Raw genomic sequence first — 16480 nt, 5'->3', positions numbered from 1 at the left:
ACAATAAAGCCAAGAAAATAAAATGTTATTAAGAAAATCATAAGGGGCCAGGTGTGGTGGCTCACGCCTTAATCCCAGCACTTTGGGAGGCCAAGGCGGGTGGTTCACGAGGATAAGAGATCGAAACCATCCTGGCCAACATGGTGAAACTCCGTCTCTACTAAAATACAAAACATTAGCTGGGCATGGTGGCGGGTGCCTGTAGTCCCAGCTACTCGGGAGGCTGAGGCAGGAGAATTGCTTGAACCTGGAAGGTGGAGGTTGCAGTGACCCGACATCATGCCACCGGACTCCAGCCTGGCAACAGAGCAAGACTCCGTCTCAAAAATAAAACAAACAAACAAACAAAAAAAAAAAACAAAAAAAGAAAATCATAAGGAAGAGAAAATATATTTACTCTTCATTAAGTGGAAGTGGATCACCATAAAGGTCTTCATCCTCACTGTCTTCATGTTGAATAGGCTGAGGACGAGGAGGAACAGGAGGGCTTGGTCGTGCTGTCACAGAGGTAGCAGAGGAGGAAGAAAATCCACATATAGGTGGACTTGCGTAGTTTGAAGCCCTGTTGTTCAAGGGTCAACTGTATTTCTTGGAAAAACAACAACTCACATATAGTTCCTAGAGTAGCAAATCGTTCCTGGGAAAATTATGCCTTGCCATGTGCAGTGCTTTTCTGGAGTGTTTCTGTTCTTTACATAATGAGCTGAGTAGCTCCCTTAGACATTTTTTTTTTTTTGAGACAGAGTCTCACTCTGTTGCCCAGGCTGGAGTGCAGTTGGCACAATCTCGGCTCACTGCAACCACCACCTCCTGGGTTCAAGCGTTTCTCCTGCCTCAGCCTCCTGAGTAGCTGGGATTACAGGCACCTGCCACCACACCCAGCTAATTTTTGTATTTTTAGTAGAGATGGGGTTTCACCATGTTGGTCAGGTGGGTCTTGAACTCCTGACCTTGAGTGATCCGATTGCCTCGGCCTCCCAAAGTGCTGGGATTACAGGTGTGAGCCACCACACCTGGCCAGACATATTTTAATTTGTCTTTTTTCAACCTATTTAGAAATTAGGCAATTCTTTTCTTTCCCCCAGTGGTGGAAAGATTTTCCTAGCTGTCTAATTTATAAGTTTTTGGAAAGATATTTGCAATTCTTAGTTTCTCAACTACCTGACCCTTCTTTTCCTATGAGCCTTTGAGAAATACTTATGCATAGGTACTGCTTAGCATTGTAAAAGGAGTTTATTGACCTAAAAAATTGTAATGGCTGTTACTAGGCAGATGGTTAAGCACTGGATGAATCTGCCTTTATGTCCTAAGTCATTTTTGAGAAATGAGGAAAATCATCTAGACAGTAAAACTGGGGTCTACACTACATCTCATCTACTTTTAATGCCTAAGTTTCTAGAGTCAGGTTCCATTTCCTTCCTTCTTACACACAGGTGGCAATAGAATGAAAATTAAACATACATTTCTCAATTACTACCCATGACCCATGCCTATAAATATTGTGATATAAATAGGTATTGAATCTGTATACACAGGAAAAGACCACAATGAAAAGAAGCATAAAGTTAAGGAGTTTATAGCTTACTGCCCGCAAAGTTTAATATTATACATTGGGTTACACTGACCTCTACAGGATGATAATAAAAACTAGCTTAGTTTGAAACTAGAGGAGGGCAAAGGAGAAAGGAAAAACTAGCTTAGTTTGAAACTAGAGGGCAAAGGAGAAAGGAAAGCCATCCATTTGCCTGTCATCCACAAAAATGAAATTTTGTACATTTCATTCACAAACTAATTCAGCAAAACGATGGTGAGTAGTTGTGTTTCGGATATGAATTCTGAGTTAGTCAATAACTGGTAATTTTTGAGGTATTTTAACAGCAATTTTAAACTGTTTTCAGTGGGATTTCAAAAATCTTAAATCAATTCTATGGAAAGTAAAAAGAAAAAAGAAGAGAAATAAAATGCTTCTTATCTTAAATTTTTACCATTTACATTATAGGGCCTTCATTTAAAAATATATAACCATGAATATTTACATCTATAATAATCCTGGTTTTAAAACGTGTTGTTTTAAATTGGTTCTAAAAAAAATATTGGGAATGAGGTTTTAATTTTAAAAATTGTGATCTTTCCAGGCATAGTGGCTCATGCCTGTAATTCCAGCATTTTGGGAGGCAGAAGTGGGAGGATTGCTTGAGGCCAGGAGTTTGAGACCAGCCTGGGCAACATAGAGAGACCTTGTCTCTACTAAAATTTAAACATTAGCCGAGCATAGTGGCACATGCCTGCAGTCCCAGCTACTTGGGAGGCTGAGGTGGGAGGATCGCTTGAGCCCAGGAAGTCAAGGCTGCAATGAGCTGTGATTATGCCACTGCACCCCAGCCTGGGTGACAGAGCGAGATCTTGTCTCAAGAAGAAAAAAAAGAATTGTGATTTCCAGGATAGCTTTGAACTTTAAAAGCCTTCCTTAAGAGGATATTATAATCTCTTTAGACTACTTTAAACGAGTTAGCGTGATATTTATATATGTTTCTGCATTCACAGCTTTTTCTGTCTTCCTTTTAGTTCCTTCTGCCACCACTGTCACTCTTGCCCACGCGATCTGGTGTCCTTACTATCCCCCAAAATCACAAGTTTCCAAAAGAAAAAGAAAGAAACATTCCAAGTCTCACATCTTTTGTGCCTAAGCTCTCAGTGTCTGTTCGTCAATCTGATGAGCTCAGCCCATCAAACGAGCCTCCGGGAGCCCTAGTTAAGTCGTTGATGGATCCGACTCTCAGGTCTTCTGATGGCTTCATTTGGTCAAGAAACATGTGCTCTTTTCCTAAGACTAACCATCACAGGCAATGCCTGGAGAAGGAGGAAAACTGGAAATCCAAGGAAATAGAAGAATGTAACAAAATTGAAATCACTCACTTTGAAAAAGGGCAGTCTTTGGTGTCTTTTGAGAATTTGAAGGAAGGCAATATTCCTGCAGTTAGGGAAGAGGATATTGACTGCCATGGTAGTAAAACGCGAAAACCTGAAGAAGAGAACTCTCAATATCTTTCATCAAGAAAGAATGAGAGTTCAGTAGCCAAAAACTATGAACAAGATCCAGAAATAGTATGTACCATTCCAAGCAAGTTCCAAGAAACCCAGCATTCAGAAATAACTCCAAGCCAGGATGAAGAGATGAGAAATAATAAAGCTGCTTCAAAAAGAGTTTCATTACATAAAAATGAAGCAATGGAACCAAACAATATTTTAGAAGAGTGTACTGTACTTAAAAGCTTATCCAGTGTAGTCTTTGATGACCCCATTGATAAACTCCCAGAAGGTTGTAGCAGCATGGAGACAAACATAAAAATATCAATAGCAGAAAGAGCCAAACCAGAAATGAGTAGGATGGTGCCTCTTATCCACATCACCTTCCCTGTGGATGGAAGCCCCAAGGAACCAGTGATAGCCAAACCAAGCCTCCAAACAAGAAAGGGAACCATTCATAACAACCATAGTGTCAACATACCTGTACACCAAGAAAATGACAAGCATAAGATGAATTCCCATAGGAGTAAGTTGGATTCAAAGACCAAGACAAGTAAGAAGACACCTCAGAATTTTGTGATTTCTACTGAAGGTCCCATTAAGCCTACCATGCATAAAACCAGCATAAAAACACAAATTTTCCCGGCTTTGGGACTTGTGGACCCCAGGCCTTGGCAATTGCCCAGGTTTCAAAAGAAAATGCCACAGATAGCAAAGAAGCAATCAACTCACCGGACTCAGAAACCTAAAAAGCAATCATTTCCTTGCATCTGTAAAAATCCAGGAACACAGAAGTCATGTGTTCCTCTCTCTGTTCAACCGACAGAGCCAAGACTAAATTACCTAGATCTTAAGTATAGTGATATGTTCAAAGAAATCAATTCAACTGCTAATGGACCTGGAATCTATGAAATGTTTGGGACCCCTGTTTATTGTCATGTGCGAGAGACTGAAAGGGATGAAAACACGTATTACCGTGAGATATGTTCGGCTCCATCAGGCAGACGTATCACCAATAAATGTCGATCTTCACACAGTGAGAGGAAGAGCAATATCAGAACAAGACTTTCTCAGAAAAAAACACATATGAAATGCCCAAAGACTTCATTTGGCATTAAACAAGAGCACAAAGTCTTAATTTCTAAAGAAAAGAGTTCCAAGGCTGTACATAGCAACCTACATGACATTGAAAATGGTGATGGTATTTCAGAACCAGACTGGCAGATAAAGTCTTCAGGAAATGAGTTTCTATCTTCCAAAGATGAAATTCATCCCATGAACTTGGCTCAGACACCTGAGCAGTCCATGAAACAGAATGAATTCCCTCCTGTCTCAGATTTATCCATTGTTGAAGAAGTTTCTATGGAAGAGTCTACTGGTGATAGAGACATTTCTAACAATCAAATACTCACCACAAGCCTCAGAGATCTGCAAGAACTTGAAGAGCTACATCACCAGATCCCATTTATCCCTTCAGAAGACAGCTGGGCAGTGCCCAGTGAGAAGAATTCTAACAAGTATGTACAGCAAGAAAAGCAGAATACAGCATCTCTTAGTAAAGTAAATGCCAGCCGAATTTTAACTAATGATCTAGAGTTTGATAGTGTTTCAGATCACTCTAAAACACTTACAAATTTCTCTTTCCAAGCAAAACAAGAAAGTGCATCTTCCCAGACATATCAATATTGGGTACATTATTTGGATCATGATAGTTTAGCAAATAAGTCAATCACATATCAAATGTTTGGAAAAACCTTAAGTGGCACAAATTCAATTTCCCAAGAAATTATGGACTCTGTAAATAATGAAGAATTGACAGATGAACTATTAGGTTGTCTAGCTGCAGAATTATTAGCTCTTGATGAGAAAGATAACAACTCTTGCCAAAAAATGGCAAATGAAACAGATCCTGAAAACCTAAATCTTGTCCTCAGATGGAGAGGAAGTACCCCAAAAGAAATGGGCAGAGAGACAACAAAAGTCAAAATACAGGTTGGTATAATTAGAATCCAAGATTCATTGGGGTGGGAAGGACCTCAGAGACAATCTGGTTCAAACCCCTTATTTTCAAATGAGGAATTATAAACCCTAAACAATTAAATAGTTTTTTCAAGGTCTCACTGTTTGATCACAAGGTTGGAAATCAGGTCCTCTGACCCCCAGGCTAAGATGTTTTCATTATATTGACTCCCTTCTGGAATTTAGCTAGCTTGACATTGCAATGAAATCAGTTTGGTTAAATTAATTTAGCAAAACCATTCAAATAGGTCAGTATTTTATTCAATGATGACATTTTCAATCAACAGCATATCATTTCCAACTATCAGCAGATACATAATTATAGGCAAGACATTGCTCTAGGTATGTGAGATAGAAAGAAATGAACATGGCTCCAGAAGTGGCTCACCATTTTGTTCATAGGAAGACATGAAATGTACATTTCTCAGAGCCCCTACACCTGAGCATTTGCTCTCAGATGATTCACTACTTTAATGCAAAATTATTATTGATGCCTACTGTGCTTCTGGCAGTGGGCCAAGAACTAGGAGCATAGTGCTGTACAAGACTCGGCCATTGCTCTCATGGAAGTGTAAGCAAAAATCCTGAAATAAGATTTTTAAAAATTTTGTTTGGCATGAGAGTTGGCATGGAGTGGGGAAGAAGATCAACACATAGTCGGGTTTTCTTTGTTATCGTTTTCACTAAAGTACACAAGCCTCCCAAACTGAAATTTTAAAGACAGAAACAGTAGGTAAACTGAAATATTATTTATTGAACACTAACTCAGGTCATACTGCACTATATCCACACTATATCAGGATCAGGAATAATTTTTTTTTGAGATGGAGTCTTGCTCTATTGCCCAGGCTGGAGCGCAGTGCTGCGATCTCGGCTTGCTGCAAACTCCACCTCCTGGGTTAAAGCGATTCTCCTGCCTCAGCCTCCCAAGTAGCTGGGATTACAGGCACTCACCACCACGCCTGGATAATTTTTGTATTTTTAGTAGAGACGGGATTTCACCATCTTGGCCAGGCTGGTCTTGGAACTCCTGACCTCGCGATCCACCTTCCTCGGCCTCCCAAAGTGCTGGGATTACAGGCGTGAGCCACGGCGCCCAGCCAGGAATAATTATTTTAAATAATTATTGGTCAGAAGAACATACAAGGTAAATAATTATCCCATAGCTTCCTGGACTGTTTGCTAGAGATACTAGTCTGACTTACTGCAAGTCTGGCTTGTGGATGGTAAACTGGCTTCCTGTTTTGGTTACTGTAGATAATGGGTTGATTTCCTGGGTTGGTTGCTGCACATTGTAGGTCAGAGTTCTATTTTTATATATGATCTGGCCATTGTTGGTTTGTATATTATCTCTCAGTACATATGTGTATGTATATATATGATATATATGTGTGCATGATATATATTTATGTTTATGTGTGTGTACATTTGTGTGAACACATATGTGAATATGTGTGTATGAGTTTGTGTGTCTCTATGTGTGTGTCCAGCTCTGTGTATGTTTCTCTTTCTGAACTTGTCTGTGTTTAGGAGCAAGCTGACCACGATAATGGGAATTTTGAGGAGAGAGTTGAGGTTAGGGGGCTGAGGAGATGGCACACACTAACATATTCTGTCATGATAGGGACCTTGTGAAAGATAATTCTCAAAAGACAGTGGTTAGTAGCTGCAGGCCTATGTGGGGCCTGAGATGAACAGGACTAAGATCTCCTCCTATAAAATATGCAGAGCAAGATGTGGTTTTAAAATGTGTATAATTAACAAGGCTGAAGTTCACAACTAAGATACACTATGTGGTCATTTGGGGGAATGATGTGTCTCTAGAAGTTACCTGTAAGAGTGGCCACAGACAGGAACATTTGAAAAGAAGACTTTACTCTCACCCCTTTCTCTCCATCCCAGTGACTTGGTTTAATGGTCATCTTTCCTTTTGTCTCATTCTTCCAGAGGCATAGTAGTGGGCTCAGGATATATGACAGGGAGGAGAAATTTCTCATCTCAAATGAAAAGAAGATATTTTCTGAAAATAGTTTAAAGTCTGAAGAACCTATCCTATGGACCAAGGGTGAGATTCTTGGAAAGGGAGCCTACGGCACAGTAAGTTAAACTGGAAACTTGAAATCAGCACTCCCCACCCCCCCACAGTCCCTCCCTCCACCCCTCCCACTCCCCCAGTCATCCTCCCTGCTTCCTCTGGCAAGCACTCTTTTACTTAGAACTCTTTCAGTTGGAAGTAACAGAAAATCCAACCACTGAGGGAAAGGACAGTTACTGCTTTATCCGACTGAAAGGTCTGGAATAGGTCTGGCTCTGGGTCCAGGAGGCTTCAGGGATCAGACAATGTCATCAGGATCTGGTCTCTCTCTCTCTTTGCCTGGCTTTTTCTCAGGCACATATAGTGACTCAATGGCCACTGCATTTCTAACCTCTCATCCTCCCAGGTTCAAGTCCAATGGGAAAGAAATATCTTCCTTCAACAGCTGAATATGTTACTGGAAGTTTGGAGAATCATTACTAGATGGCAAAAACAAAAGATGTTCCTTCCATTTTGTGAACTGCATAAGAGATCTTGGGGGGTGGGCGATGAAGAGAGGTGGGTACAAACATACAGTCAGATAGAAGAAATAAGTTCTAGTGTTTGATAACACAGTAGGGTGACTATAGTTAACAACAATATATTGTGTATTTCCAATTAGCTAGAAGATTGAAATGCCCCCAACACAAAGAAAATGACAAATGTTTGAGGTGATGGATGTCCTAAACACACTGTCTTGATCATTACACATTCTATGCATGTATTAATATATCAGATGTGCCTCTTAAATATGTACAAACATTATATATCTAAACCCTAGCACTTTAGATAGTTATTTACATAGACGAGTAAAGAAAAGGCTGGCCCCCAAATAAGACTTGTGCTGTCTCCAGATGGGGACATTTCAGAAATCAGTGAGAAGACAGGAAGACACAAAACCACTGAGATTACATCACAATGGTGATTTCCAGGGCCTGTCTCCTTCTCACTCCAGAGAGCTTGGGAGCTGAACCAGCTCTATTTTACATATTATCAGGAGCTTTTCCAAACCACCATCTCATGTAGTCATCATAGAAATCTGGGAGGCAGGCCAGGTGTGGTGGCTTTCACCTGTAATCCCAGAACTTTGGGAGGCCGAGGCGGGTGGATCACTTGAGGTCAGGAGTTCGAGACTAGACTGGCCATATGGTAAAACCCCGTCTCTACTAAAAATACAAAAATTAGCCAGGTGTGGTGGCACAGACCTGTAATCCCAGCTACTCAGGAGGCTGAGGCATGAGAATTGCTTGAACCCCGGGGCAGAGGTTGCAGTGAGCCCAGATCACACCACTGCACTCCAGCCTGGGCGACAGAGCGAGACCCTGTCTCCAAAAAAAAAAAAAAAAGAAAAAAATCTGTGAGGCAGCCTGGGCAACATAGAGAGACCTCGTCTCCACAAAAATACTTTAAAAATTAGCCTAGTGTGGTGGTACATGCCTGTAGTCCCAGCTACTCAGGACACTGAGGCAGGAGGATCGCTTGAGCCCAGGAATTTGAGGCTGCAGTGAGATATGATCAGGGCCACTGCACTCCAGCCTGGGTGACAGAGAGAGACTCTGTCTCCAAAAAAAAAAAAAAAAAAAAAGAAAGAAAAAGGTAGCACGGTGGCTCTACAAAAAGTACACACACACAATTAGCCAGGTGTGGTGGCACACACCTGTGATCCTAGCTACGAGCTGCTCAGGAGGCTGAGGTAGGAGGATTGCTTGAACCCAGGAGGTTGAGCCTGCAATGAGCTGTGATTGTGCCAATGCACTCCAGCCTGGGCAACAGAGTGAGACCCTGTCTAAAAACAAACAAAAAAAAAAAAAAAAAAAAGAAAAGAAATCTCTGAGGCAAGTATTGTTACCTCAGTTTTACAGATGAGAAAAACTGAAGTCAAAAGATTACACATTTATCCCAAGTTATATAGCTGGGGAAAGATGAAGCCAGGATTCTAGCCAATTCAAGCCACTTGACTTTAAGCCAATATGACATCCATCCACCATGTTTCTCATACCCATCTTGGCTCCACTGAAACACTGAATTTGCTTAAACACTTTGCATTTAGGAAGGGAGGTATCAACTTAGAGAAAGACAAGGGTTTAGAAAGAGAAGGGAAAGTCAAGTGTCACCTGAGGCATTTTGTGAATAAGTTATGTCATTAATTTAATAACAAGGTATTATTGATTTGCTTCTAGGTATACTGTGGTCTCACTAGTCAAGGACAGCTAATAGCTGTAAAACAGGTGGCTTTGGATACCTCTAATAAATTAGCTGCTGAAAAGGAATACCGGAAACTACAGGAAGAAGTAGATTTGCTCAAAGCACTGAAACATGTCAACATTGTGGCCTATTTGGGGACATGCTTGCAAGAGAACACTGTGAGCATTTTCATGGAGTTTGTTCCTGGTGGCTCAATCTCTAGTATTATAAACCGTTTTGGGCCATTGCCTGAGATGGTGTTCTGTAAATATACGAAACAAATACTTCAAGGTGTTGCTTATCTCCATGAGAACTGTGTGGTACATCGCGATATCAAAGGAAATAATGTTATGCTCATGCCAACTGGAATAATAAAGCTGATTGACTTTGGCTGTGCCAGGCGTTTGGCCTGGGCAGGTTTAAATGGCACCCACAGTGACATGCTTAAGTCCATGCATGGGACTCCATATTGGATGGCCCCAGAAGTCATCAATGAGTCTGGCTATGGACGGAAATCAGATATCTGGAGCATTGGTTGTACTGTGTTTGAGATGGCTACAGGGAAGCCTCCACTGGCTTCCATGGACAGGATGGCCGCCATGTTTTACATCGGAGCACACCGAGGGCTGATGCCTCCTTTACCAGACCACTTCTCAGAAAATGCAGCAGACTTTGTGCGCATGTGCCTGACCAGGTAAGAAACTGAAAGCAAGAGGAGGAAGATAAATGCCCGGAGATTCCAAGTGGCAGACATTTCCCTTTCAATTTATGGCCCATTAAAAGCTCTGTTTTGGTTATGAAGTCAAGTAGACAGTGATTTTGTGCCGAAAGTAATCATAATCAGTCATATTGGGTAATTGTGTTCATTGTTGTATCAGGGTATAGGAGGCAATGCTTCAAGTAGAAAGTGCCTCAATTAAATGTCTTATCAAGTTCTGTCAATACTTGCCCAAATCAATGGGTTTGCAAAATTTGTTAAAGATCTACTTATTTACCAATGAGACATCTTCCTAGGAACTGGCTAGGGTGAAATGACATCATCTTGCATTTAAAGTGAGGGGAAACATTTTGAGCCAAAGAAACAAATTGGAGATTTCAAGCGTCAAGTGGGGGAGTATTTGGTGAATCGGAAAAGCCTTAGAAAATTGCCTGTTTTCCCCTTCCTTATCTTCTCTCCTATCTATGGAATTAAATTGTGGGTAAAATGTTAGAACTGTAACTGTAATGTAATGGAAATTAACTAGTGCTGTGATTTTCAAATTTTTAGCCAGGTACTCTGCTCATAGAAATCTTAAATCAAAGAATAAAATAAAAGCAGACAGATGGCTCTAGTTAAAGTGTGTATCCATGGGGCGGGGAAGAGTTAAGGAGTAGGGCTGTGGGTGCTGGAGCCCACTCTAGGATACTGCACAGCAGCCCCAAACCCACCTACCTAGCAAGGCTCAACTTTAATTGGAGGACAAGAAAGGCCTGAGACTCAAAGTCAATTTCCTGTCTTTCAAGTAAGTTTGCCTTCTTATCCCTAGATGAAAAACTCCAGTGTCCCATCTTTTAGCAAGCACATATGGCAACCCCCAACTCCCAGGGGGTTCATTTTGCCTTTCTGAATAAATCTTAGAATCTACAGGTCTCCCTCTCTGCCAATGAATGTGCCTCTCTTTCAGTCTCTGTCTCTCTCTCCCAGCACATGTGTATCAGCCTGTCCTGGCTGATTTCAGGATGATTACATGGGCCAGGGCAGGAATGCCACTCCAGGGGTACAGTTTTTGGCATTGCTAGATGCAGAGAACCCTTAGGTTTCCAGCGTGGATTTTGTGGACAGAGCCCCAGTCACTGAGCTGCCCACCCTCTCCAAAAAAAAAAAAAAAAAAAACCGCATAAATGTGTTGGAAAATCGTATAGACAAGTACTAGTTTGATATTGGTGTTAACTGTTAAAACTATTGTAGTTGCTTTGTTCCGAATTTAACAATTACCTATATTATTGACTCACAGCTAGAAACCACTTGTTATTCTCATTTTCTTTCAAGTTGTGATTACACACACACACACACACACACACACACACACACGAAGCACTTTAAAGAGAAAGGGTGGAATCTTCTTTTATGGCTCTCCTTTTGAACCGTTGCTTCATAAACTAAGCAATATACAATTCACACCACTAATAAAAATTAACAGGGTTATTGTGAAGGTTAAGTGAAATGGTGCATGTAAATTGCTTAGCAGAGTGTGGGGCACAAAATTAGGAGTTTACAGTTAATAATCATTAGGAAGAATATTAACATACCTTACCTAATTAGAGTCATATACAAGTATATAATTACCTCCTAAAATTCTATGGCAAAGACCCTGAGGACCCTAGCATCTCACCTGATATCAATAACAATACTCCTTGGAGATAGGGATATTCAGAAAATAAAGGGCGAGGCACTCTTAAAGATTCAGAAATAGAGATAATCAGGCATAGACTAGGGAAAGTCTAAAGAAAACAGAAATGAACTTGGGGAAGCTGAGAGAAATAAGCATGGAGGGGGTACTCCTATTGACAGATCAAGTTCTGGGAAGTCAGGCCAAGGAGTTTAGCTTTGTTGCAATAGGCAGTGAGGAGCAGGGGGCTGCAAAAGATTTGGGGTAGAAAAGGCCATAAAGAAAAGGGTCTTTGGGAAGGCAGGTCAGATGGCAATGTATTGAAGGGCCTGGGATGGATGTCGCTTGAGACTAGAAAGCTCTGCAGAAATCCAGAGCTTGGATGCTGATGGTGGTAGAAGCAGTGGGATTGTAAAGGATTCCAGAAAATTTCAGAGAAAAGGTGAATCAAGACTTGGTAATGGAGCAGAATGATAGGATTTCACATTTTTGACTCTGGATAATGGGAGAAATCACAGTTGTGAGAGAAGAACAGGGAGGCAGCTAAACCCTTCCCACCTCCTGTAAGGAGACATTTGAAGCTATGGAATTGCAGCTCAGGAAAGCAATTAAGATTGGAAGGACACATTTAAAAATAATTATAACAGCCAGGTGCAGTGGCTCATGCCTGTAATCCCAGCACTTAGGAAGGCCGAGGTGGGGGGATCACTTAAGCCCAGGAGTTCAAGATGGAGACCAACCTGGGCCACATGAAGAAACCCCATCTTTACAAAAAAATACAAAAATTAGCCAGGCATGGTGGTGTGTGCCCGTAGTCCCAGCTACTCAGGAGGCTGAGGTGAGAGGATGAGAGGATCGCTTGACCCCGGAAGTTGATGCTGCAGTGGGCTGAGATGGCACCACTGCACTCCAGCCTAAGGGACAGAGTGAGACTCTGTCTCAAAAAAAAAAAAAAATCATTATAAGGTTGATTGCTACAGTCATAACAAAATTATAGGGCTGAGGAAAATATTTTGAAAATGCTCACAATGGAAGCTAACAGAAATGCATGGCATCAAGTCTAGCACATAACTGGAGAAGGGAAGGGAGGAAGGGAAGGGAGTTGCCCCAAGGTGTAAGAAGAAACAAGAGGACAGAGTGTCCCTAAGTCTAAGCAGAGGTAGTTTCAGGTAGGAGGGAGTAGTGAATGTTTCAAGCGCTACAGAAATGACAAACAGCTCATTAAATCTGGTTAATTTCAAGAGGGCAATTTCTATAGAGGAATGGGCCAAATGGTTAAGAATACAGGGGGGAAGTCACCGAGCTTAGCCTTGTTAGAGACATTTGGCAGAGACATTTAAAATGGGATGGGCCAGGCGCAGTGGTCCACGCTTGTAATCCCAGCACTTTGGGAGGCTGAGGCAGAATAACTGATTGAGCGCAGGAGTTTGAGATCAGCCTGGGCAACATAGGGAGACCCTGTTTCTACAAAAAATTTAAAAATTAGCCGGGCGCGGTGGCTCACGCCAGTAATCCCAGCACTTTGGGAGGCCGAGGCGGGCGGATCACGAGGTCAGGAGATCAAGACCATCCTAGCTAACATGGTGAAACCCTGTCTCCACTAAAAATACAAAAAATTAGCTGGGTGTGGTGGCAGGCACCTGTAGTCCCAGCTACTCGGGAGGCTGAGCCAGGAAAATGGTGTGAACCTGGGAGGCAGAGCTTGCAGTGAGCCGAGATTGCTCCACTGCACTCCAGCCTGGGTGACAGAGCGAGACTTCATCTCAAAAAAAAAAAAAAAAAAAAAAAATTTAAAAATTAGCAAGTCATGGTTGTGTACACCTGTAGTCCCAGTGACTCAGAAGGCTGAGGTGGGAGGATCACTTGAGCCTGGAAGGTTGAGACCACAGTGAACCGTGATCATGCCACTGCACTCCAGCTTTGGCAACAGAATGAGACCCTGTCTCAAAAAAAAAAAAAAGTGGGTGGGGGAGCGGTGGTAGCTAGAAATGGTATCCAGTTCAAGGAAAGGATTTTAAAGGAGAGAGATTTCTGCATATTTTAAAGGCCGGAGAAAGGGCCTCCAGATAGTGAAAGAATTTTTTTTTTTTTTTTTTTTCCGAGACGGAGTCTTGCTTTGTTACCCAGGCTGGAATGCGGTGGTGTGACCTTGGCTCACTGCAACCTCCGTCCATGGGTTCAAGCAATTCTCCTGTCTCAGCCTCCCAAGTAGATGGGACTACAGGCGCCTGCCACTGTGGCCAGCTGATGTTTTTGTTTTTTTAGTAGAGACGGGGTTTCACCATGTTGGCCAGGCTGGTCTCGAACTCCTGACCTCGTGATCCACCCACCTTAGCCTCCCAAAGTGCTGAGATTACAGGTGTGAGCCACTGTGCCTTGCTGTATTTTTTTTTTTTTTACTTTTGAAATGACACAAAATATAATACTTTTATACAAAATACTTTTAAGAGTATTTATTTCCATTTTCACCTGGAAAATGATCTGGTGGCCATTGTGCTTTCAAAATTATTAAAAGAGGAGGGGCTTCAAGATGGCTGACTAGAGACATCTGGCACTTACTTCCTCCACAAAGAACTAAAATAGCAAGTAGATAAGCACATTTCAAATATAGCATCTGAGAGAGAACACTGGATTTCAACAGAGAAGTTACAGGAAACACCTGAGACATGGAAGAAAAGGAAAGGAAGACAGTCAGTTTGGTTGAGATTGGCCGAGAGCCCAGAGAGCCTCCCTAGTGTGGGGAAAGGGTGAGAGATCCTCAGTGGTCCACATTCTCACAGTGAACTCCTGCAATCCTAGCCATGGGAGAACCCTTTAGTCCTTGCAGACACTGAGACTAGAATATGGAGCTGCCTGGAAACCATGTGACAGCATTGCTCCGGAGAGGGAGCTCACACCTGAGTCCTAAGCAGCTACAGCATGGCACCATTTTGAGAGTCCAGCCCCCACCAGACTCCATCCCGCCCTGGGGTCCAACAGCCCCTGCAACTCCATATCCTTGGAACCCTACTTACATCTTCTTGTGTTTACCTGGAGGGCTGCAGCAGTGTGATGCCAGTTGTACCCAGTGGAGTGGCCAGATCCCCAGCATTGTAGCACACATGGTGTCCTGCACCCCAGAAACAACAGTGCAGCGCACCAGGGAGGCTGCTCCTGGGACAAAGGGAGCCAAAGCATGTGCTCCCCAGTGCCTAAGAACTGCCTACCTGAGGTGGCTATTACAGATAGCAACCCCACCCTTTCTAGCAGCAGGGCTGCCACACACATGCTCTGAGGACAGACTCTGCTGCTGTCCACTGCAGCTTCTGCTTAGGCTGAAGTGTGTGCCACTGGCAGTGACCCCACCCGCTTCAGCAACAGGGTTGCAGCACATTTGCATGTGCCCTGAGGACTGGCTTTCTTGGCTGCAGCTGCTGCCACCACCAGAAGCCAAACCATGAGCTCCCTGGAACCTGAGAGCCACCTGCCTGAAGCTGCTGCCACTGACGGCAACTCTGCTTCCACCAGTAGCAGGGCTATAGCACACTTGCACATGCCCTAATGACAGGCTCCCCTTGCCCACCACCACCGGAGCTGCAGCCACCCAATCATCATGCCAGGGCCCTGGGGATCACCCCACCCTGCCCACTACTGCTGACCCCTGCGTGTACCACTGGAGGGCCTGAGGAAAGGTCAACCAAGCCTGGCCCAGCAGCCCTGCCGGTGTCTGAGCACATTGCCTGGGGCCTGGGGATTCTCTGCCCTATCACTGCTGGTATCTGTACATTCCTCATGAGGACCTGAGGACCGGCCCATCCAGCCCATTGCAGCCACTATTAACACCAGTGCCTGCTGCTATGGAGCCCAAGCATTATCCCAGTACCACTATTGCCATTGCCCATGCCATGCATGCTGCCCAGGAGTCTAAGGACCTATCCACCCACCCAGCACACCACTGCCACTACCAGGACCTGAGCAAGCCTTGGAGGCCCAAGAATTGGCTCATTTGAACCCACTAACACTAGTGCCCATGTATGTCACCCAGGGGCCCAAGGATGGGCATGCTTGACACACCACTGCTACCACTCAGGCTAAAGGACTGGCCCACCTGGCATACCAATCCCCAGCAAAACCTCACCACAGACTCCACTAACAATCACAGACTTAGCCGCTGAGGAAATCACAGACACCACTGGCGCTGTTTACAGCTGAAGAAATTATACTAAGACCACACTACTGCATACACCCAGGATCAAAGCTAAAGCATCCTACCCAATCAACACCATAGATACATCTTCAGGAAAGAGTCTTCCCTTATGAAAGCCAATCCAAAAATTTAAAAGAAGTGACTGTTATACCACATGTGCCAATTCATTCAAGAGCTTCGACAATAGACTACATCAAGCAGGAGAAAGAATCTCAGGACTTGAATACAGATCTTTTGAAATAACCCATTCAGACAAAAATAAAGAAAAAAAAGAGTGAACAAAGCCTACATGACATGTAGGAAACTATAAATTGGCCAGATATACAATTTTGATTGTTCCAGAAGGTGAAGAGAAGACCAAAGGTATAGAAAATCTATTTAAAGACAGAATAGTTGAAACTTTCCCAGGTCTAGCAAGAGATTTAAACATCCAGATACAGGAAGCTAAGAGATCCACAAATAGATACAACCTAGAAAGGTCTTCTCCAGGGTACATTGTAGTCAAACTGTCAAAAGTCAAAGACAAAGAGAAAATTCTAAGAACAGCAAAAGAAAAACATCTAGTAATGTATAAAAGAACCCCCATCAGACTAACAGTGGATTTATCAGCAGAAATCTTAC

The 16480-nt window shown here is 42.9% G+C and overlaps 1 protein-coding gene across 15 annotated transcripts in view, besides 2 other annotated features; it reads left to right on the top strand.

Annotated features, from left to right (window-relative positions):
• Window positions 1-16480, top strand: part of MAP3K19 (mitogen-activated protein kinase kinase kinase 19) — an 82957-nt gene that overhangs the window by 56629 nt on the left and 9848 nt on the right. For 8 of the 15 annotated variants that reach the window (XM_017005005.3, XM_017005004.3, NM_025052.5 and 5 more), the window contains 3 exons: window positions 2566-5019; window positions 6994-7143; window positions 9301-9998. In XM_017005005.3, the coding sequence (XP_016860494.1) occupies window positions 2566-5019; window positions 6994-7143; window positions 9301-9998 (3302 nt within the window). Of the gene's footprint in view, window positions 1-2565; window positions 5020-6993; window positions 7144-7487; window positions 7640-9300; window positions 10106-16480 lie in introns of those variants that run through there. The other 7 variants (XM_017005006.3, NM_001321177.2, XM_017005007.2 and 4 more) reach the window with 7 other exon arrangements.
• Window positions 14607-15106: an enhancer, noted in NCBI's record as "H3K4me1 hESC enhancer chr2:135733283-135733782 (GRCh37/hg19 assembly coordinates)". NCBI's record gives its function as "activates a minimal SCP1, AML or CMV promoter by ChIP-STARR-seq in primed H9 embryonic stem cells {active_cell/tissue: H9 hESC(primed)}" and the evidence as "EXISTENCE:reporter gene assay evidence [ECO:0000049][PMID:30033119]".
• Window positions 15107-15608: an enhancer, noted in NCBI's record as "H3K4me1 hESC enhancer chr2:135732781-135733282 (GRCh37/hg19 assembly coordinates)". NCBI's record gives its function as "activates a minimal SCP1, AML or CMV promoter by ChIP-STARR-seq in primed H9 embryonic stem cells {active_cell/tissue: H9 hESC(primed)}" and the evidence as "EXISTENCE:reporter gene assay evidence [ECO:0000049][PMID:30033119]".

Source organism: Homo sapiens, chromosome 2, assembly GCF_000001405.40.
Source record: "Homo sapiens chromosome 2, GRCh38.p14 Primary Assembly".
In the NCBI taxonomy this organism is placed as follows: domain Eukaryota; kingdom Metazoa; phylum Chordata; class Mammalia; order Primates; family Hominidae; genus Homo; species Homo sapiens.
Note: the sequence above shows the minus strand (reverse complement) of the source record. Positions and strands in the feature narration are given on the sequence as shown.